General features: G+C 63.1%; 1 protein-coding gene across 3 annotated transcripts, besides 2 other annotated features; it reads left to right on the forward strand.

Annotated features, from left to right (window-relative positions):
• Positions 7,082-7,620: an enhancer, noted in NCBI's record as "H3K27ac-H3K4me1 hESC enhancer chr11:368032-368570 (GRCh37/hg19 assembly coordinates)". NCBI's record gives its function as "activates a minimal SCP1, AML or CMV promoter by ChIP-STARR-seq in naive H9 embryonic stem cells {active_cell/tissue: H9 hESC(naive)}" and the evidence as "EXISTENCE:reporter gene assay evidence [ECO:0000049][PMID:30033119]".
• On the forward strand, positions 8,549-21,167 carry B4GALNT4 (beta-1,4-N-acetyl-galactosaminyltransferase 4). 3 transcript variants are annotated; one of them, NM_178537.5, is made up of 20 exons: positions 8,549-9,004; positions 11,159-11,262; positions 11,712-11,804; positions 11,902-11,997; positions 12,076-12,166; positions 12,241-12,341; positions 12,499-12,566; positions 12,800-12,878; positions 14,511-14,577; positions 14,689-14,823; positions 14,897-15,006; positions 15,124-15,224; positions 15,301-15,401; positions 15,471-16,377; positions 18,468-18,751; positions 18,916-19,069; positions 19,180-19,252; positions 19,342-19,495; positions 19,875-20,001; positions 20,719-21,167. In NM_178537.5, exons 1-20 carry the CDS (start codon positions 8,854-8,856, stop codon positions 20,840-20,842), a joined length of 3,120 nt encoding a protein of 1,039 aa, NP_848632.2. In that variant the 5' UTR covers positions 8,549-8,853; the 3' UTR covers positions 20,843-21,167. The 3 variants fall into 3 exon arrangements, 2 of the variants coding, with proteins under 2 accessions (NP_848632.2, XP_016873143.1); XM_017017654.2 differs by lacking the exon at positions 8,549-9,004 and adding an exon at positions 9,257-10,724; XR_001747858.2 differs by lacking the exons at positions 19,875-20,001; positions 20,719-21,167 and having other exon boundaries at positions 19,151-19,252; positions 19,342-19,434.
• Positions 19,161-19,318: a silencer, noted in NCBI's record as "fragment chr11:380111-380268 (GRCh37/hg19 assembly coordinates)". NCBI's record gives its function as "represses an EF-1alpha promoter that drives an FKBP-Casp9 reporter gene in an ReSE screen in HepG2 liver carcinoma cells {active_cell/tissue: HepG2}" and the evidence as "EXISTENCE:reporter gene assay evidence [ECO:0000049][PMID:32094911]".
• Positions 21,168-22,084: the final 917 nt, after the last annotated feature.

Below are 22,084 nucleotides of genomic sequence, written 5' to 3' on the forward strand. Positions count from 1 at the left end.
ATGGGGTGAGGGGTCTCATGTTGGAAAAGGCCAGATGGAGGCCATAGAGCTGCCTCTACCCAGGAAAACAGTCAATCGAAATAAGTCCCGCCTCCCTGGAGGTACAGCAGAGATCGGTGCCACCATCCAGGACCTGACCTGCCTCCCTGGAGGGACAGCAGAGATCGGTGCCACCATCGCGGACCTGACCCGCCTCCCTGGAGGGACAGCAGAGATCAGTGCCACATCGTGGACCTGACGATGCAGGGGCTGGAGACTCCACCACAGCCCCGTTTGCCTGCCTTCTTTGGCCTGTGTGGAAGGCAGGAGGATCTGGAAGAAGGACAGGGAATTGCTGTAAAAAATAATCAGACGGTGGTTAGCGTAACGTCTGCTCCTGACAGGCTTTCACTGAGCAGCAAATCCACACGCTCCTTGCGGCCTCATGGGTGTAGGGTCCAGCCCCACAGGGTCGGTGGGTTTTTCTCCCCATGTGCAGAGACGAGAGAGTGTAGAAATAAAGACACAAGACAAAGAGATTAAAAAAAAGACAGCTGGGCCCGGAGGACCACTACCACCAATGCGCGGAGACCGGTAGTGGCCCCGAATGTCTGGCTGCGTTGTTATTTATTGGATACAAGGCAGAAGGGGCAGGGTAAAGAGTGTGAGTCATCTCCAATGATAGATAAGGTCACGTGGGTCACGTGTCCACTGGACAGGGGGCCCTTCCCTGCCTGGCAGCCGAGGCAGAGAGGGAGAGGAGACAGAGAGAAAGATAGCTTACGCCATTATTTTTGTATATTAGAGACGTTTAGTACTTTCACTAATTTGCTACTGCTATCTAGAAGGCAGAGCCAGGTGCACAGGATGGAACATGAAGGAGGACTAGGAGCATGACTGCTGAAGCACAGCATCACAGGGAGACGGTTAGGCCTCCGGATAACTGCGGGCAGGTCTGACTGAAGTCAGGCCCTCCACAAGAGGTGGAGGAGCAGAGTCTTCTCTAAACTCCCCCGGGGAAAGGGAGCCCCTCCTTTCCCGGTCTGCTAAGTAGCGGGTGTTTTTCCTTGACACTTACGCTACCGCTAGACCACGGTCCGCTTGGCAACGGGCGTCTTCCCAGACGCTGGCATCACCGCTAGACCAAGGAGCCCTCTAGTGGCCTTGTCCGGGCATAACAGAAGGCTCGCACTCTTGTCTTCTGGTCACTCCTCACTATGTCCCCTCAGCTCCTATCTCTGTATGGCCTGGTTTTTCCTAGTTTATGATTATAGAGCGAGGATTGTTATAATATTGGAATAAAGAGTAATTGCTACAAACTAATGATTAATGATATTCATATATAATCATATCTAAGATCTATATCTGGTGTAACTATTTTTATTTTATATTTTATTATACTGGAACAGCTCGTGTCCTCAGTCTCTTGCCTCGGCACCTGGGTGGCTTGCCGCCCACAATGGGCAGCTTATTCATCAGGGAAGGCCTTTGTCTCCACACCTGTGGGTGAAGACCATCGGGATGCTTTGCCTTCAACAGGCAAGGCCAACAATTCACCTTCACTTCCCTCCCTCCAGGAACATCAGCTCCCAGCTCAGAGTCATCGGCCTCGCTTACAGGGACGTCACACTACCCGCTCTGTGGGGGGCATCGTGTGGTCTGGACTTGCTGAGCAGAAAGTAGCCGCTGCCCTCAACACCTCCCTAGAGCATCTGCGAGCCGAACACCTGGGGCCCACACCTCCGGCACGTCTAGGGACCCAGTGGTCCATCCCTTCCCAAGCACAAGGCAAGTGGCTACCTCAGTCCCTTCCTCCACGAAGAAAGAGGCACGATGCCTAGTGCTGTAGGTCCCATGTTATTTGGGAAGCAACTTTTGCCCTATTTGGAAGTGCTGCTCCAACCCCTTAACCCAAGACCAGAGGAGGCCTGCTAGGGGCCACGTGCCACATGGGCTGCTCGGCCACTTGGGCCACATGGCCAAGCACATCCAGTGCTGCTTGAACTGTGTCGAGCTTCTGGCTGGACCTCTGGTTGGCCTCTGCACTGACTTTCAGCAAAGCATTGCCACCATCTGGAGACAGGTGTCCCAGGGTCCACCATCTGGACATAGCTGTTGCAGCCCACGCCATCCGGAGAGAGGTGTCCCGGCCCCCACCGTCCGGAGAGAGAGCTCTCCCGGCCCCCACCGTCTGGAGAGAGGTGTCCCGGCCCCACCATCCGGAGAGAGCTGTCCCGGCCCTACCGTCTGGAGAGAGAGCTGTCCCGGCCCCACCGTCTGGAGAGAGGGGTCCCGGCCCCCACCGTCTGGGGAGAGCTGTCCCGGCCCCCACCGTCTGGAGAGAGAGCTGTCCCGGCCCCCACCGTCTGGAGAGAGAGCTGTCCCAGCCCCACCGTCTGGAGAGAGGTGTCCCGACCCCACCGTCTGGAGAGAGGTGTCCCAGCCCCACCGTCTGGGGAGAGGTGTCCCGGCCCCACCGTCTGGAGAGAGAGGTGTCCCGGCCCCACCGTCTGGGGAGAGCTGTTCCGGCCCCACCGTCTGCAGAGAGGTGTCCCGGCCCCACCGTCTGGAGAGAGCTGTCCCAGCCCCACCGTCTGGGGAGAGGTGTCCCGGCTCCCACCGTCTGGAGAGAGCTGTCCCGGCCCCCACCGTCTGGAGAGAGAGCTGTCCCGGCCCCACCGTCTGGAGAGAGGTGTCCCGGCCCCACCGTCTGGGGAAAGCTGTCCCGGCCCCACCGTCTGGAGAGAGAGCTGTCCCGGCCCCCACCATCCGGAGAGAGAGGTGTCCCGGCCCCCACCATCTGGAGAGAGAGCTGTCCCGGCCCCCACCGTCTGGAGAGAGGTGTCCCGGCCCCACCGTCTGGAGAGAGCTGTCCCGGCCCCACCGTCTGGAGAGAGGTGTCCCGGCCCCACCGTCTGGAGAGAGGTGTCCCGGCCCCACCGTCTGGAGAGAGCTGTCCCGGCCCCACCGTCTGGAGAGAGGTGTCCCGGCCCCCACCGTCTGGGGAGAGCTGTCCCGGCCCCACCAGGCTCCAGATACTGAGCAGGGCCAAGGGCCACATTCTTTTTTTTTTTTTTTTTTTTTTTGCACAGGATCTTGCTTGGTTGCCTAGTCTGGAGTGCGGTGGCATAATCACAGGTCTGCAGCCTCGACCTCCCAGGCCTCAGCAATCCTTCCACCCCAGCCTCTCGAGTAGCTGAGACTACAGGTTTGCACCACACCTGGCAAATGTTTGTGTTTTTTGTAGAGATAGGGTCTCCCTGTGTTGCCAAGGCTGGTCTCGAACTCCTGTGCTCAAGCGTCCTCTCCCACCTCCACCTCCCAAAGTGTTGAGATTACAGGCATAAGCCGCCGTGCCCAACCCCAAAGGCACATTCTAACGCCTGGGCTGCCATCGTGCACTGGGTGTGGTCGGACCCACCAGCCTCAGGGCTGGGTGTGCACAGCAGATGCCACCGACGGAAGTGGTCTACACGTGGTCAGCTCAAACAGGTCCTGGGGGCCCTGGGAAGCCAGTGGAGGAGGTGGGTCCTGAACAGGCATGAACAGGCAGCTCCCCTCACTCTGCCTCATCTCTCTGAAATACACCACTGGGTCGTGAGGCGTTCCCTCGGACCAGATGACTCAGAAAGCACAATGCAGCCCTGGTCACAGATGGCTCTGCCTAATAAGCTGGCACCACCCCGAAGTGGGCGCCCCAGCACGGCAGCGCCACCTGGGTGTGGGAGGCCAGGCCTGCACGACAGGTGCAAAGGCAGGTCCTCACCTGGGTGTGGGAGGCCAGGCCTGCACGACAGGTGCAAAGGCAGGTCCTCGCAGGGCCGAGCAGCAAGCAGGATGGAGGAGGAGGCAGAGTTCCGTGGACGCCCCGGCCACGGCCGACCGTCTAGCTGATGGCCAGGCACTTGGAGGGGCACGATTACAAAGTTAGAGATGAAACGGTCGGGGTGAAGGTATGTAGACAGACCTCTTGGGGTGGGCAGAGCATAAAGAATTTGTGTGCAAAGACCTGTCTCAGCAGAGGAGGGACCCTAATAGTCAGACGGACAAAATGACCCATTTGTGCGCATCAGGCAGCCTCTTTCCCCAGCTCCCCTTGTCCTGAGTCGGGCCAAGTGGCTGTAGCAGTGGGAAGCGGATTACCCTGGGCACCGCGCAGCCAACAGCGGAGACCAACACTGGCCCCTTCCTCCACCATGGAGGATGCTTGTCCCAGCAGGATGGGCTCCCACCCCAGCTGTGGATGGTCAGTGCCCTCAATGCCTCTGCCCAAACCACCACCCCACACATTCAGAGCTCCTCGTCCACCCACGGGGTGCTCCTCATGGCGGCATCGCCATTGTCCTGGGGACAGCAACCGGCCGGTGCTCCTGGAACCCACAGATCTCGCCGTGTTCCTGATGGAATGGCCTTTGGGAGGCTCAGTTTTGGCACCAGCTGAGTGACAATGCTGTGGATCTGGGGTCCTCTGGATGCAGCGGATCCACTGAATCAGCACTTAATCTCTGGCTTTTCCCAAAGCCGGGGCTCACTGGTCCAGGCGTGGAGGAGTGGAAACCCCAACTTCTTCCCATTGTCGTTAATCCCCAGTGAGCCACAAGTGAAAGTTTTGCCCCCTGCAGTGTTGCACGCTGTTGGTCTAGAGGCCTCAGATTCCCAGGGACCAACTCATCCCAGTTTGCTTAAGACTTTGCCGGTCTTATTTTCATTTTTTTATTTTTTATTTTTTTGAGGCTCAGTTTTGCTCTTGTTGCCCAGGCTGGAGTGCAATGGCACGATCTCGGCTCACCACAACCTCCGCCTCCTGGGTTCAAGCAATTCTCCTGCCTCAGCCTTCCTAGTAGCTGGGATTGCAGGCATGCACCACCATGCCCAGCTAATTTTTTATTTTTAGTAGAGACGGGGTTTCTCCATGTTGGTTAGGCTGGTCTCGAACTTCCAACCTCAGGTAATCCACCTGCCTCAGCGTCCCAAAGTGCTGAGATTACAGGCGTGAGCCACCGCGCCCAGCCGACTTTCCCAGGTTTAAAACGGAAAGTTCCATGTCCTAGGAATCCCCTCGGTCCTGGGAAAGCCCTGGAGTGTTTCCACCAGGGGACACGTTACGCAGGAAGCTGAGACTGCCCACCTGGACGCCGGTTCCTCACACCAGGGGGTCGACAAAGAAGAGGGTCCCTGTGCTGGTCCGGCTGACTGAGCCCAACAAGGGGAACTTGGAACCTGATCACAGAATGGGGCTAAGGGGGAGAAATTTGGGAGGCAGGAGATCGTCTGTAATATCACGTAGCTCCTCTAAGCCTTGCAGAAAACACCACTGGAAAACCAGAACCACCCCATAAGGCAAAACTGCTAACAGCATAGGCCTTTTGGGAAGGAACGTTTGGGTCACCCCACCAGACAGTGAACCACGACCAGCAGAGGTGCTTGCAGAGGGCAAAGGGACCACGCAGGAGTGACGGAAGAGCGTGGCCATAAAGACTGTACCAGCCACGACCTGGTGACCGTAGAAGTGAGTACTTCTTATCCTCACACAAGTCACACTTGTACTGACATTATCCGTTCTTCCTGCTTTTTTCCTCTTCCATTGCCCTCCTAGCTGCATAAAATGCGTTAACAACAGTTAACTTTACATTTCATCTCAGTATTTGTGTCATCCAACCCCCAACATGCACTTTGCAGTGTCAAGTGTTAAACGCTCTTAGAGAAACTAGAAGAACGAGGATCGTCTTCTCAAATGTGGATAACATGACACGAACCTTTTGTTCAGTCCCTTCTGGTTGGAATATTTGCATCATGTTACGTAGAAGCATGACTTTGTTTTTTGCTTTATTTGGAAGTTAAATGTGTTTTTTAAAAGAAGTGTGCGTCTGTGCTGAGTTGTCAAGAGGAGGAACCTGCCAGGTTGTTCTCTCTTTTTTTTTTTTGAGACCGAGTCTCGCTCTGTCACCCAGGCTGGAGTGCAGTGGCGCGATCTCGGCTCACTGCAAGCTCCGCCTCCCGGGTTCACGCCATTCTCCTGCCTCAGCCTCCGAGTAGCTGGGACTACAGGCGCCCGCCGCCACGCCCGGCTAATTTTTTGTATTTTCAGTACAGACAGGGTTTCACCGTGTTAGCCAGGATGGTCTCGATCTCCTGACCTCGTGATCCGCCCGCCTCGGCCTCCCAAAGTGCTGGGATTACAGGCGTGAGCCACCGCGCCCGGCCAGGTTGTTCTCTTATTCTAAGCTGGAGACCCATTTCCCAGAACCTTCTCCTCTGTGGCTGGGTCACACCGAAGTGAGGCGGTGGCCGTTCTTCTCCAGAAGGGGCCGAGACGGATGTGGTAGCATATGGAGCATCTGCGTCCGGCAGATCCCAGCTCGCCCCTCAATTGTACCTACTATGCTTTGGATCCACAGGGGACACCCTCTGACTGTGGACCCATGAAGTGTCCCAAACACGTCTCTCCCGACATTGCCAACACTTGCCTTCTAAGAACCTGTTTACGGGTCAGGCCAGCCGTTGCCTCCCCAGAGAGCGACCCTGGAGCGGGAGCCGGCCTCCCTCCATCACCCAGCTCATCTCCTTCACGTCACTCACCACCAGCAAAGCGACTATGCGTTCACTGGTCTGTCCCTGCCTAGTAACATGTAAACTCCATGAAAGGAGGGCCCTTTTCTGTCTTGCTCACTGCTGTGTCCCCTAAGTCCCTGGCTCGTCAGGACACTAGAATACTAGGTAGCGTCCACTGGCTGGATGAATGTGCCTAGGATGGGGTGCCATGCAGTGGAAAGAGGGAAAGCATTAGACGCACAGCCAGACAGATGCACATAGAAAATATGGGACTTGGAGAAACAGAATGAGACACATAAAAGAGCACCACTGGCCGGGCACAGTGGCTCACGCCTGGAATCCCAGCACTTTGGGAGGCCAAGGCGGGAGGATCACTTGAGCCCAGGAGTTCAACGCCAGCCCGGGACACATGGTGAGACCCTGAATCTGTTAAAAAAAAAAATACAAAAAATTAGTCCGGCATGGTGATGCATGCCTGTAGTCCCAGCTCCTCAAGAACCTGAAGTGGGAGGATCGCTTGAGCCCAGGAGGTCAAGGCTGCTGTGAGCTGAGATTGCACCACTGCACTCTAGCCTCAGAGACACAGTGAGACCCTGTCTCAAAAAGGGGTGGGGCACTATATTTTAATGAATATGCAGATAACAGAAATATGAAAAGTGGACTGCAGGAGGCAGGAGATGAGGAGCTGATGGGGTGGGGGAAGGTTTGAGAGACCGGGTGTTGTTTAAGGGCCGGTATGAACAGCAGGATGTAACCAGCTTGCTTCTGTGCTCAGAAGTTAGGGGAGGAGGATGGAGGGGAAGGAGGGAAGGAGTTGAGGTCTTAAGAAGGCAACTTCTGGGCAATCTTCCATTGTGAGGTGGGGTCCACGTCCCCACAACCCACGAACTTGGGTGGCCGTGCGGCATGTGGCAAACCTGAGGGGTGACTCCAAGATGCTTCACTCTGTGTGCTGGACCGGGAGGCTGCCCCTGGCAGCTGAGCCTGCAGGCGCTCTGGCCAACCACCCGGGGTGAGCCCAGCCATTCCTGCCGAGGGTGCACTGGCTTGGGGCAGAAGTCTCTGGATGGCTCCAGCCTGTCCCGCGGAGCCGGCCCCACCACTCACGTCTTCCCACCGGAGGCCAGCACCTCGAGGAGCAGAGAGGAGCTGTCCCCGAGTGCCCTGAGTTCCTGACCCACAGGACACAGGAACACAGGAACGCTGCTGTTGGACAGCACTGAAGCTGGGCGGTTTGCTACACACCCAGAGACAGCTGAGCAGACAGAGGGAGAAGAGTAGGGTCACGCTGGCAGCTGGACAAGGGAAGTACTGGGGGGACAGAGGGACTGGCAGGGGTTGGTGCAGACCAGGTGAGAAAGGGCACGAAGTGGGACAAGGTCCCGGTGAGAGGCACGACACTGTCACCTGCCTCAGGCCGCGCTCGGTGGGGCGGGGGCCACCAGCTGAGGCCCCTCCTGCCGCCCAGACAGCTCGGCCCCCTGCGGCCCCAGCCCTGCAGGCTGAGATCCCGCAACGACTCCCACCCCTGGGCTGAAGCCGGTGCTTGGGCCCCCCCGCCCCCCGGCCTCTCTCGCCCGCCCCCATTCCCCGCCCCCCAGGACCCCGGGTCCCTCCCCTCCCTCCTCCGTGTTGTCCGCCTGCAGTCCTTCGGGTCACTGTTCTCGGGAGGCCGCCCCGCCCCACAGTCAGGCTGTGCCCATCCCCCGCCGCCCCCCACGGTCCCCGAGCCCCAGCGCTTCCCAGCCCCGCGTCTGTGTGCCGCGCCCCCGCGCTCCGTGGCCCAGGTGGACGCGCGCCCCGCGCCCCGCATCCCTGTCCGTCCCGCACCCCTCACCCCCCGCCCCGCACCCTCCGCACCCCCCGCCCCGCCCCGCCTCCCCTCGCCCCGCCTCCTCCGCCCCGCACCCCGCGCCCCGCCCCGCCTTCCCGCGCCCCGCACCCCTCCCCGCGCGCCGCCATTGGCTCCCCGCGGCCTGGCTCGGTCCGATTGGTTCCGCGCGCGCGGCCGGGGCCCGATCCGCGGTGGCAGCCGTGGATGCTGTTCGGTCCCGCCGCCGCCCCAGGAGCGCGGAGCCGGGAGCGGCCGGGCGGGGGGCACCGCGAGGAGCCGCCCCCGCCGCCCACCCCGGGCCCGCGGCCGAGGGCGGCCTGGGGGGGTCGCGGCCGCACCCGGTGGCCGCGCACGGCGGACAAAGGACCATGCGGGGCCGCGGGCGCTGAGCGCGGCGGGGCGGGCCGGGGATGCGGCGCGGGGCGGGCGGGGGCCGGGGGCTGCAGCGGCGCCGCTGAGCGCGGCCTGGGGCGGGCGCGGCGGCCGCGATGCCGCGGCTCCCGGTGAAGAAGATCCGTAAGCAGATGAAGCTGCTGCTGCTGCTGCTGCTGCTGAGCTGCGCCGCGTGGCTCACCTACGTGCACCTGGGCCTGGTGCGCCAGGGACGCGCGCTGCGCCAGCGCCTGGGCTACGGGCGAGGTACGGCGCGGGGGGCGCGGGGGGCGCGGGGGGCGGGGGCGGCGCGGGGGGCGCGGGGGGCGCGGGCGGCGCGGGGGGCGCGGGCGGCGCGGGCGGCGGGGGCCCCGGGGCGCGGGCCGGGCCTCCCACCGCACAGAGGTCTCGGCTGGGCCCGACCCTCCCGGAGACCCCGCCCGCTGTTCTCCGCTCTGCGATTTGGGGGGAGGGGGCGCGGTTCGGCTCGGCCCGGACGCTCGATGACGTCGGCAGTGACGCGCGCGACCCTCCCAGAGAGGGTCCCTGACTCTGGGATCTGGCTTGGATCCGGTAGTGAGGGGCTGACGGTGGGCTCCTGGGGAAGTCTCTGCCCCTAGACCCTGCTGAGGCTTCCAAGAGGCCTTCTCAGGCCTCGCCTCCACCCCCTGCCCGCTTAGCAGGGCCTCAGTTTCCCTGTGTGCTGGGGACCCGGGCCGGGGCTTGCTGAAGTGGCCGGTGCAGCTGGGACGCTTCCCGGCGGGGGCGCCTTCGGTGAACTGTGCCAGTGTTGTGGGGGTCCATGCGTAGGGATGGGGCCCAGCTTGGGGAGCCTGGCGTAAACTCTCCCAACCCCAACCCACAAACAAAGCAGATGGGGTCACGGTGAGCCAGCCGGGGTAGGGCCTCCTGGAGATGGTGATCTTTGACATACACCTTTGGGGGAAAGAGCATTCCAGACAGGAAGGCGCAGATGAAAGCCTGGCGGTGGGGTTGGGGGAGAAGGTGGGGCAGAATGCCCCCTCTGGAGGAGGGAGGTTAGTGCCATGCCCAGACCAGGAGAGACCCCAGCTGGCTGCCTCTGAGCCTTTTCCAGGGAGCCAGGTGTCCTGAGGGGGCAGAACAATGATACTGGCTGGGGACTCCTGGGCCACTCCACCTGCCAAAGCCCCTGTGTTCTCTTCCTGTACCGGGACGCCTGGACCCACACAGGCCAAGGGTCTGGGGCTTGTCCCAACCCACATACCTCACAGCTTCCACACCCTCAAGAGACCCCCGATACTGCTGAATCCCTAAAAAGCCCCACCCCAGCTATCAGCAGACAGGGCAGGATCCACAGCTGGCCCAGTGACACAGAACAAAACCAGCCCCCTCTGCAGGCTCCTCTGTGGTTTTCTGAGCAGCGCAGGGGTCTAAGCCCAACCAGGAGGGGGCGGAGGCATAGGGACCCCTCTTCCAAGGACCCCTTGAGGCTAAGCCAGCTCCGCCCCAGGGCACCTGTACACTTGCTACCTCTGAGGCTAGGGCCAGGACCAGAGGAGCCCAACAGCTGCCCAGGGAGAGGGCGAGTGAGCAGACTGTTCTGTCGGGGGACCTGGGGCCCAAGTCAGGGGAGCCCTGGGGGACCCTTCCCAGATCTGCCTGTGGACATCTCTACTGCCTCCCCACAAGCCTGGGCAGGCCAGCTCTGCACCCCAGCCCTCTCCACTTCCTGGACCTCCCTAAGCTGAGGACCTAGACATCCCCACTGCAGCCCCAGGGGGTTCCACGCCCTGGGATCTGAGCATCTGTAGGGATGCTTCTCTTCACCCCAATTCTGCCCCTCCTGGTCCTCCTACCCAAGGACACTCAATCCAGGGCCACCCTCTGCTCCAGGGCCATGCCTGGGCGTCAGCATCCATGCCTGTTCCTCAGTCCAGACTTTGAGAGCTCAAATCCTTCAGGAGAGACTACAGTCCCTGGCACTAACCCTGAGTTCTCAGTTCTGGTAAGGGAGGCAGACGTGGAACACTCCAGCACACAGAGAAAGTGCTGAGGGCACAGGGCAGTCCTGGGGTCTTCCTGGAGGCAGAGCCACTCAACAAGAATGGCCAGATGGAGGTGCATGTGGGTGCCTACACACGCCAGCTGGCCCACCCGGCTTTCCTCCCTCACACCTGCTGGAGGTTGGGAAGAGCCTGCTGGAAGGCTCAGCCTGGGCTGCCCCACCAGAGGTGGGGTGTAGAAGAAGTTGCCTTGCTGGGGGGAGGGGCATCTGGTGGCAGAGGAAGCAGATGAGAAGGAGAGGCTTTAGTGAGAGACACCACAGCCTGCCTGCCCTGCTCTGGCCATGTGGGTCCCTGGCCCAGCTGAACCCAGCAGCAGGCAGAATGGCCTTGGAGAGAGCCTGGGCCCGAGACAGGCCTCATGTGCCACCTGCAGATGGTGAGAAGCTGACCAGTGAGACCGACGGCCGGGGGGTCCACGCTGCGCCATCCACACAGAGGGCTGAGGACTCCAGTGAGAGCCGTGAAGAGGAGCAAGCGGTGAGCAGAGCCCTGGGGAGAACACGTGTGCACGGAGACGAGACCCCGAAGCCACTTGTGTGTTGGTGTCTTGAGAACCTGTCCATTCTGGAGGACGCAGCAGGGGGCATGAGACACAGGACATGTGGGGCACGGCACAGCTTGTCTGTGTGAGCTCCAGCACCAGCCATCCTGTCTGGAGCTCTGTGTCTGGGGGCTGCAGCAGGTGCATGAATGTGCCGGCCGGTCAGTGTGTGGGGTGGCCAAGCATCTGCTTGGGCTAGAGTGACCAGGGTGTCTGAGTGTATGTGCCAGGTGCCACAGGTCAGGGTTTGCATGGCTGGGGCTCACGGGCATTTAGGGCTGTGTGGATACATGTTGGAAGGGGTCTTTGTGAAGGTTTGTCTTGGTGTGTGTGACCTCCTCCCTGCCCTTCCAACCCTGACCCTGTTGCCTTTTCTCTCCTGCAGCCCGAAGGTCGGGACCTAGACATGCTGTTTCCTGGGGGGGCTGGGAGGCTGCCACTGAACTTCACCCATCAGACACCCCCATGGCGGGAGGAGGTGAGCTGGCTCGGCCTGTAATGGGCTGGGAGGCAGGGCGGGGGCTGGGGCGGGGGGGCGGCGGGCCGTGCAGAAGGTAAGGCCCCCCCATCCCCAGTACAAGGGGCAGGTGAACCTGCACGTGTTTGAGGACTGGTGTGGGGGCGCCGTGGGCCACCTGAGGAGGAACCTGCACTTCCCGCTGTTCCCTCATGTGAGTGCCGGGGTTGGGGGGTGCCGGGTGGGCAGGGCACGCAGGGGGCTTCGACAGCAACAGTCACTGCCCCCCCAGACGCGCACCACCGTGAAGAAGTTGGCCGTGTCCCCCAAGTGGAAGAACTATGGACTCCGTATTTTTGGTTTCATCCACCCGGCGAGGGACGGTACGGGGGTGAGGGTGCCCCGGGGGAGGGGTGCCGTGAGGCTCCACCCCCCTGAGCCTAGTCTTGTGGACTAGGAGACGTCCAGTTTTCTGTGGCCTCAGACGACAACTCGGAGTTCTGGCTGAGTCTGGACGAGAGCCCTGCTGCTGCCCAGCTTGTGGCCTTTGTGGGCAAGGTACCCCCACCCCAGCCCTGGTGTCGTCCCGGGCCTCCTGCAGCTCAGTCACCTGTGCCCACCAGCCTCTTGGGAATGAGGACCCGATGGGTTTGGTGTCCCCAGGGAGAGAGTGAACCCCCCCCCCCACCACCACCCCTGCTCTATCACCCCCCAGACTGGCTCCGAGTGGACAGCGCCTGGAGAATTCACCAAGTTCAGCTCCCAGGTGTCCAAGCCCAGGCGGTGAGTGACTGTGGGGTGCATGTGCGTGCACTTGTGTATTCGTGGGAGGGGGTTACGCGCTGTCTCCTTATCCTGTGCACACTTGCGCACACTCTGCACGAGCACCCGCCCGGCCAAGCTGCCATCCTCCTGAGGGCCAGCCCTGAGGGGTGTGGGAGCCACCTGCCCCCTTCCCTGCCTCCACTATTTGAGCGTCCTGTGCATGGCACGACCCTTGCTCCTCGTGTCCCCAGGCTCATGGCCTCCCGGAGGTACTACTTTGAGTTGCTGCACAAGCAGGACGACCGCGGCTCGGACCACGTGGAAGTGGGCGTGAGTGCCTTCCTCCCCTGGGGGCTTCTGGAGACTCCACTCCCCCCACCTCCCTGCAGGACAACCGCAATGGGGTCCCCGTCCCAAAGTTGACAAAGCAGATGGTCAGGGCCATGGGCCTGAGGTCAGGAGGGTCTGCTCTGCCCTCCTGGGGGGCTCGGTGAGGCTTCACTAGGAGTCACCTTTGAGTAGAGTCTTGAGAGGATGGAGACCTTCAGTAGGGAGATGTGGGGGGCAGAGAATTTGGGGTGGGGTGTACGGCGGATGAATTCCACACCACAAGAACAGCGAAGGAACAGACCCAGCAGAGGAACCGGGTCTTCGAGACTAGGAGGGGTCTGGTGGCCAGATCAGGCGGGGCCTGAGCAGCACTCTGGACAGATAGGCCTTTGTCCTGAGAATGAGGCCATTGGATTTGCATTCCAGGAAAAAACCCCTGGCCACAAAGCGGAGAGAGCCTGGGGGAAGGATTTTTACTGTGGCCTTTGGTCCTCAAACCCAGGGAGGTGGCTGTGGGGATGGACGGGGGAAGGCGGAAGGGGTTATACAGCAAGGCAGAGGGCCTGCAGCCTGGTGGGTGTGGGGGGCAGCACGATGGTGCCTGTGTCTGGTGTGTGGAGGGCACGTTTCACCCCAGCTCAGCTGGGCAGAGGGCCCAGACTGGAGACAGGGGTTTGGGGTGGTCTGTGGAGGCCCCAGGATGAGGTGGGAACAGAAGGGCCTGAGACAGCCCCTGGAGCCCCAACTTGGTGGGGGTAGAGTGGGGGGGGCATCCAGCCTGGCCCTTAGGGGGCCAGCAGTGACCCTCACTGGGTGGGGTTGGAAATCTTAACCTGAGGCGGGGCGGGGGGGCCTCAGGGAGGGAGGGAGGGGGAAGGGAGGGAGGGGGAAGGGAGGGAGGAGGAAGGGAGGGAGGAGGAAGGGAGGGAGGAGGAAGGGAGGGAGGAGGAAGGGAGGGAGGAGGAAGGGAGGGAGGAGGAAGGGAGGGAGGAGGAAGGGAGGGAGGAGGAAGGGAGGGAGGGAGGAGGAAGGGAGGGAGGGAGGAGGAAGGGAGGGAGGGAGGAGGAAGGGAGGGAGGGAGGAGGAAGGGAGGGAGGAGGAAGGGAGGGAGGGAGGAGGAAGGGAGGGAGGGAGGAGGAAGGGAGGGAGGAGGAAGGGAGGGAGGAGGAAGGGAGGGAGGGAGGAGGAAGGGAGGGAGGGAGGTGGAAGGGAGGGAGGAGGAAGGGAGGGAGGTGGAAGGGAGGGAGGAGGAAGGGAGGGAGGTGGAAGGGAGGGAGGAGGAAGGGAGGGAGGAGGAAGGGAGGGAGGAGGAAGGGAGGGAGGAGGAAGGGAGGGAGGTGGAAGGGAGGGAGGAGGAAGGGAGGGAGGAGGAAGGGAGGGAGGAGGAAAGGTGAGGAAGGGAGCATGGTGGGGTCTGGCCCTGCTCCCAGGGTCCCTCAGCTTTCTGGGCTTCCTTCCCCAGCTTCCCTGCTGCCCCTTCTTGGAACGCCCCGGACCCCTCTGCCATCTCCTCTCCTGCATCCTTTAAGGGATTGGTCCTATTAGTCCCCCGGCCCTGAGCCAGGGTAGACCCTTTCTTCCCTGGACCCAGCCACCGCCCTGTCCCTGACCCCCACCCTCTCTGCCCCGCAGTGGCGAGCTTTCCTGCCCGGCCTGAAGTTCGAGGTCATCAGCTCTGCTCACATCTCCCTGTACACAGGTGCGAGCGGACGCCTCTGGGGATGTGGGGCTCCTCGGGATGGGCTCTGGGTGTGAGTGGGAAGAGTGGAGGAGGGGGTCTGAGCACTCCCTGGAACTCTTCTGCCCCCAGATGAGTCAGCCTTGAAGATGGACCACGTGGCGCACGTCCCCCAGTCTCCAGCCAGCCACGTGGGGGGGCGTCCGCCGCAGGAGGAGACCAGCGCAGACATGCTGCGGCCAGATCCCAGGGATACCTTTTTCCTCAGTGAGAGGGGGCCCGCGCGGGGGCGAGGGCGGGGGTGCCTGCCCCAGCCACCCTGTGACCGCACCTCCTGCAGCTCCACGCATGGAATCTTCGAGCCTGGAGAACGTGCTGGAGCCCTGCGCCTACGCCCCCACCTACGTGGTCAAGGACTTCCCGATCGCCAGATACCAGGGCCTGCAATTTGTGAGTGCGGCTGGAGACCCCGTCTCCCGTCCGGGACTCCGCGGAGCCTTCTCCAGCCCCTTGGGAGGCCGCCCCGGGAGGTCCGCGCCCTGAGCCCTGCGCCCCCCCACCCCCCAGGTGTACCTGTCCTTCGTTTATCCCAACGACTACACTCGCCTCACCCACATGGAGACGGACAACAAGTGCTTCTACCGCGAGTCTCCGCTGTATCTGGAGAGGTGGGCGCGCGGCCGGGCTAATGCGGGGCGGGGTGGGCGGGGCGGGACTCGGCTCTGATGCCCCGCCGCGCCCCAGGTTTGGGTTCTATAAATACATGAAGATGGACAAGGAGGAGGGGGATGAGGATGAAGAAGACGAGGTGCAGCGCCGAGCCTTCCTCTTCCTCAACCCGGACGGTGAGTGTCCGCAGCGCCCCTGGCCCGCACCCACCTGCGCAGGGAGCTTCTAACCCGCGTTTCCCGCAGACTTCCTGGACGACGAGGACGAGGGGGAGCTGCTCGACAGCCTGGAGCCCACCGAGGCGGCCCCGCCCAGGAGCGGCCCCCAGTCCCCCGCCCCAGCAGCCCCCGCCCAGCCCGGAGCCACCCTCGCCCCGCCGACCCCTCCCCGCCCCCGGGACGGGGGGACCCCCAGGCACTCCCGGGCCCTGAGCTGGGCCGCCAGGGCCGCCCGCCCTTTGCCGCTCTTCTTGGGCCGAGCTCCGCCCCCGCGCCCTGCAGTGGAGCAGCCGCCCCCAAAGGTGTACGTGACCAGGGTGCGGCCGGGACAGCGGGCATCCCCCCGGGCCCCAGCGCCGCGTGCGCCCTGGCCGCCCTTCCCTGGCGTCTTCCTGCACCCCAGGCCTCTGCCCAGAGTGCAGCTGCGGGCGCCCCCACGCCCACCCCGGCCCCACGGCCGCAGGACCGGCGGCCCCCAGGCCACACAGCCGAGGCCCCCAGCCCGGGCGCAGGCCACCCAAGGGGGCCGGGAGGGCCAGGCGCGCACGCTGGGACCTGCGGCGCCCACAGTGGACTCAAACTTGTCCTCCGAAGCGCGGCCCGTGACCTCCTTCCTGAGCTTGTCCCAGGTGTCCGGGCCGCAGCTGCCCGGGGAGGGCGAAGAGGAGGAGGAAGGGGAGGACGATGGGGCCCCGGGCGACGAGGCCGCGTCGGAGGACAGCGAGGAGGCCGCGGGCCCGGCGCTCGGACGCTGGCGTGAGGACGCCATCGACTGGCAGCGCACGTTCAGCGTGGGCGCCGTGGACTTCGAGCTGCTGCGCTCGGACTGGAACGACCTGCGATGCAACGTTTCGGGGAACCTGCAGCTGCCGGAGGCGGAGGCCGTGGACGTGACCGCTCAGTACATGGAGCGGCTGAACGCGCGCCACGGCGGGTATGGGGGCGGCCGAACGCGCGCCAGGGCGGTTTTGGAGGCGGGGACAGCCGGGGAGAGGAGGTCCTGGCCTTGGCGGACTCCTCAGACCTTCCCCAGGGCCCAGTGGTGTACCGGCCTGGGGGCTGAGGCACCGCGCCCCACCCCAGGGAAGCCCCAGCTTCTCTCCTTCCTTCCTGGCGTCCTGACTGCCCGGGCACTTGTCCAGCCTCAGGGACCTCCCTGGAGCCCCACCCAGGGCTGGCGCCCCATCCTTGCACCTGTGTACCCCACTTCTGTCATCCTGGACCTGGGCCCAGGGATGAGTCCAAGCTGCAGAGATCAGCGTCAGTCGCATCCAGTTGCTGCGCAGACAGCCCCATTCCGGGGGGGCCAGGCAGAGACCCTTAGGGCAAAGCTCAAGACCCCTGGGCCCCTCCTCCTCTCCCCTCGCAGTGCCCCTGGGCGTTCCCAGACTGTCAGGACCCGACTGCAGAGGAAGGTGCAGGGCTTCTGCCCCATTGGCCCCTCTGGTCTCCCTGAGGCCCCAGGAATCTAGTGCTGTCTGCCCTCCCTGCAGGCTGGTGGGCAGGAGTGGGGAGTCTAATTTGGCCTTGGGGAGGCCTGTGGAGTTCTAAGAAGAGGCAGTGTCTGCTGTGCCCAGCCTTGAAGGCGAGTTAGGAGTTGCACAGTGATGACAGGCAGAGGCAGGGGCAGAGGATGGAGGCAGAACCGGGACTGTTTCTCCTGTGCGTGATGGAAGGTTGCGAGCAGAGCAAAGCCAGGGGCAGAGGATGGAGACAGGGCCAGGACTGTTTCTCATGTGTGTGATGGAAGGTTGCGAGCAGAGCAAAGGCAGGGGCAGAGGATGGAGGCACAGCTGCATGTGACTGTTTCTTGTGTGCATGATGGAAGGTTGCGAGCAGAGCAGGAATTCCACCGGTTTGGGTGCAGACAGGTATGCCTCTGCCTGGAGGGGAAGGGAAGGTGGTGGTGGTGACTGACAGCCTGGAGCCCTGGGCGGTGGGTGCTGGATTCTAGGTGGCTCAGAGGGCACGCCTGCCCCGGCTCTAAGCTTCCTGAGAGCAGCTCGTCATTTCTTGGGGGCCTCATGGGAAGATCATGGTTGTGGCCCCACCAATGCCCACCTGGGTATGGCTCAAGGAGCAACAGTGTAGAGAGACCAAGAGCATTTGGGGCAGGAGGTCCCTGACACTCAGGGCTTTGGGGTGGGGAAGGACAGGAGTTGGAGGGAGGCCTTGGACCCTCAGCTGTCACACAGGTGGGCGTCCCCCAGTGAAAGGCACAGACTGCCAAGGGAGGACGTGAGGCCGACTGAAGAGAAACCATCGTCTAGGGCAGGGTCCTGTTTTCTCCAGATGAGGAGAGCAGAGTGGAGGGAAACTGAGGTTCTTGGCCGAGTGGAATGAGGAGGAAGGGGCCAGGAACGGGCTCCCAGCATGGAAGCAGCCTCCTCCACTCAGGGATCAGGACAGGAGCGGAACTGCTGCCTGGGGGAAAGGGGTGCTGTGAAGGCACGATTGGGGGCTTCTCAGAAGAGGTGACCCAGGGCCTGGAAGAGGAGTGGCTGGGAGGACTGGGGCAAACATCCCAGGCAGGGGACTCCTCAGGACAAAGGAGAGGAGACAGTGGCTGTGCCTGAGGAGGAGTCTGCTACCCCAGTATGAGGGGAAGGTTGAAAGCCACAAAATCAAAACTGCTTAAGGTCCTAGAATGCCACAAAAGCCCCTTGGAACCTTGTCCTATGGGCGGTGGCTAACTCCTGAAGGTTTCTGAGCAAGGGGGTAACAGGACAGGCGGGCATGTCATAAACGTCACCTGGGACGTGAGTGGTGGCCAGGAGGCCCGCGAGGAGGTGAGGATGGGCCTGGGCTCGCTGGTGTGCCCCCAGTCCTGCCCCGACCCTGGAGGGGGTGGCTGGAAGGTGGACCTGCCTGCTGGGCCAACCTGGAGGGGCAGGTGCTGTGCCGCGGAGCCCGCAGCCTCCGCCAACTCCAAGTCGGCTGAGTTTCTGTGGCCAGGGCGGACCAGGGTTGCGGGCGGGGTGCAGGCTGGAAGCCCCAGTACCGGCTGACCGCTGAGCCTTGCAGGCGCTTCGCGCTTCTGCGCATCGTGAACGTGGAGAAGCGCCGGGACTCGGCGCGAGGGAGTCGCTTCCTGCTGGAGCTGGAGCTGCAGGAGCGCGGGGGCGGCCGCCTGCGACTGTCCGAGTACGTCTTCCTGCGGCTGCCGGGAGCCCGCGTAGGGGATGCAGACGGAGAAAGTCCCGAACCCGCTCCCGCCGCCTCCGTGCGCCCCGACGGCCGCCCCGAGCTCTGCCGGCCACTGCGCCTGGCCTGGCGCCAGGACGTGATGGTTCACTTCATCGTGCCAGGTTCGCAGGGCGGGCTCGGGGTGTCCGGGAGACCTCGTGGAAGGAACATGGACCCTAATGACTAGGAAAGGGTGTGGGTGTCCGGGATGAAGTTCTTCGGAGCTGGGAGGCCCCACCGTAGAGTCAGCGTCGGCTCAGCGCCCCCCCCGCCTTTTCTCCTCCAGTGAAAAACCAGGCACGGTGGGTGGCACAGTTCCTGGCGGACATGGCTGCGCTGCACGCGCGCACCGGGGACTCGCGTTTCAGCGTCGTCCTGGTGGATTTCGAGAGCGAGGATATGGACGTGGAGCGGGCCCTGCGCGCCGCGCGCCTGCCCCGGTAACGACCCCTACTTCCACCTGGGCGGACCCAGCGCAGCTTTCCTCCCCGGGAGATGGGTTTTCCTGACCCCACCCCCAGAGATCGTGCCTGTGACTCGCCCTCCCCAGGTACCAGTACCTGAGACGAACCGGGAACTTCGAGCGCTCCGCCGGGCTGCAGGCGGGAGTGGACGCGGTAGAGGTCCGAGGGCCCCATGGGGGTCGGGGAGCAAAACGGGGCGTGCCCGGGGAGGAGCGGAGGGCGGGGCTCAGACCTCCCGCACCCCCCAGGACGCCAGCAGCATCGTGTTCCTCTGCGACCTGCACATCCACTTCCCACCCAACATCCTGGACGGCATCCGCAAGCACTGCGTGGAGGGCAGGCTGGCCTTCGCGCCCGTGGTCATGCGCCTGAGCTGCGGGAGCTCGCCCCGGGACCCCCACGGTGAGGCCCCGAGCGTCCCACCCTGTGATACCAGGGTTCCCACCAACCGCCGCGGTAAAGTCCAGGAACCCGGGGCCTCTCTCAATTCCCAGGGGAGGCCTGGGAGTCCATCAGTGCTCCCCGTAGTGCCCAGAGCCCCAGTCCCCCCGCACCAGCACACCCAGGGCCATGCCAGGGGCCCCAGGAACCTCCTCCAGTATCCCGCGTTTATGCACCGCGCTCCAGGGTCATGACCCAGTACCACCGGACGACTCCCGGAAGCCCCCGTGGTGATGGGACCCGGCACCTGACCCCTCCCGAGGTCTCCTAGCGGCGCTTTGCCGGGGGGACCTTGCAGGACCTGGTCTGAAGGGTAGCACCCCTCACCCTCCCGCCCCAGGTTACTGGGAGGTGAACGGCTTTGGCCTTTTTGGGATCTACAAGTCGGACTTTGACCGGGTTGGAGGAATGAACACGGAGGAGTTCCGAGACCAGTGGGGGGGTGAAGACTGGGAGCTCCTGGACAGGTGACCACCTCCCCACTCCCCAGAGGTGACACCCTGACCCCTGCGTCCTCCTCCTCTGAATGGGGAAGGGGGATTTATGCCCCCCACGGCGCCCACATGCTGAGAGAACTCTGCCCTTCCCGGTCTTCCCAGTATCCTGTAGGCCTGGAGAGACTCCTCCACCCACATCACTTCTGAAACCCTGTCCCACCCCCAGGGTCCTGCAAGGTCAGGGACATCCCTGAACCAGCTCTGCCCCCGATCCCATAGGCCCTGGGTGGCCCTGAGTCCCCATCATCCCACTGGGGCCATGCAGGCTCGAGGCAGCCCTGACACCCCCAGCCCCTGGACCAGGGTACTGACCACCTCTCCGCCCCCGGCCCCGGGGTCCTGACCACCTCTCCGCCCCCGGCCCCGGGGTCCTGACCACCTCTCCGCCCCCGGCCCCGGGTTCCTGACCACCTCTCCGCCCCCGGCCCCGGGGTCCTGACCACCTCTCCGCCCCCGGCCCCGGGTTCCTGACCACCTCTCCGCCCCCGGCCCCGGGGTCCTGACCACCTCTCCGCCCCCGGCCCCGGGTTCCTGACCACCTCTCCGCCCCCGGCCCCGGGGTCCTGACCACCTCTCCGCCCCCGGCCCCGGGTTCCTGACCACCTCTCCGCCCCCGGCCCCGGGGTCCTGACCACCTCTCCGTCCCCAACCCCGGGGTCCTGACCACCTCTCTGCCCCCGGCCCCAGGGTCCTGCAGGCAGGGCTGGAGGTGGAGCGGCTCCGACTGCGGAATTTCTATCACCACTACCACTCCAAGAGGGGCATGTGGAGCGTCCGCAGCAGGAAGGGCTCTCGCACGGGGGCGTCTTGAGGACGGGCAGCCCCTCCCAGCCCCGGTGGGAGTCCCGAGGCAGCTGCTGGGGGCTGGGCTTTGAGCTCGGTCCCGAGAGACCCGGCAGGGCTGGTCAGAGGGGCACAGCCACCGCCTGTGCCTGCCCCTCTCTGGCCCACTGGGCGTCGTGCCCCTCCCCGGAGAGGCAGCCTTCACGGCGGGTCAGGGCCTGGCCTTGGTCCCCACTCTGCGATGATTTCTGTGAAATTTTGCTGTAGCGATGACATTGTTTTCAGAATTTCCAAGAGTTCTGTCTGTTCTGTTTTTTATTCAGAATGAAATGAAATATTTTTTTTAGTTCTGACTAGTCCTCTGTGCCTGTTCTCTTGAGAGGTAGAGTCCTCTCCCCTGGGGGACCCTGAGCACGACCTCCTGACTCCCAGCCGCAGCCCTTCCGGACCTCTCCTTCTCCTACCCCCAAGACCACTTTCCCCTTCCTGCCTGTGAGGTTCTGTGCCGGGCCCTGTGGGGAGGGGGCTTCCGACTTCCTCCGCCCTGTGTCTATGGGGTCTGTGCCCGCTGATAACAGACATAGATAGCACAGGGCCCTCCCACACTGAGGCGAGGAATGAGCAGTCACCACCTCAGTTCCCCTCATTCTGCAAACAGAATCGGGGTGTCATTCCCACCCCAGCCTCCTCTAGGGTGGAGGAGCTGCTGCACCCAGGTGGGGCATGTCGTGTGCTGGGGTTGGGGGTGATCAGGCAGAACTCAGGGTTGCCAGAAACAGAAACCCAACTCAAGCCAGTGAAGCCGTAATCAGGGGGCCTGTATGACTTTGGAACCCTCCAGGTCAGGGTCAGCAGGACACCAGAGAAGGACAGACTCAGAGGCTGGTCGAAGCCCACTCCTGCCTTGTCTCCTCTCTGCCTGTGGGTCCAGCTCAGTCCTGGCCTGGGCCAGGTCACAGGAGGGAGGCTGTACTCTGCCAGGCAGCGAGTGAGTGTGTGAGTTCCCTGTGGCTGCCGTAGCAAATTGGCACAAATGTAGTGGCTTAAAAAAATTATTATCTTACAGTTCTGGAGATAAAAAGTCCTAGAACTAAGCCCGGCACAGTGGCTCACGCCTGTAATCCCAGTACTTTGGGAGGCTGAAGCGTCCGGATCCCTAGACACGGTGGTGTGTACCTGTAGTCCCAACTACTTGGAAGGTTGAGGCAGGAGGATCACCTGAGCCCGGGAGGTCAGGGCTGCAGTGAGCTGTGGTTGCATCACTGCACTC

The sequence above is a fragment of the Homo sapiens genome, chromosome 11, assembly GCF_000001405.40.
Source record: "Homo sapiens chromosome 11, GRCh38.p14 Primary Assembly".
In the NCBI taxonomy this organism is placed as follows: Eukaryota; Metazoa; Chordata; class Mammalia; order Primates; family Hominidae; genus Homo; species Homo sapiens.

Coding starts and splice junctions, on each gene's coding strand:
- B4GALNT4 (NM_178537.5), top strand. CDS start 8,854: ATGCCGCGGCTCCCGGTGAAGAAGATCCGTAAGCAGATGAAGCTGCTG. Junction 12,342..12,498: donor TTGTGGCCTTTGTGGGCAAG/GTACCCCCACCC, acceptor ATCACCCCCCAG/ACTGGCTCCGAGTGGACAGC. Junction 15,225..15,300: donor TCTCCGCTGTATCTGGAGAG/GTGGGCGCGCGG, acceptor GCCGCGCCCCAG/GTTTGGGTTCTATAAATACA.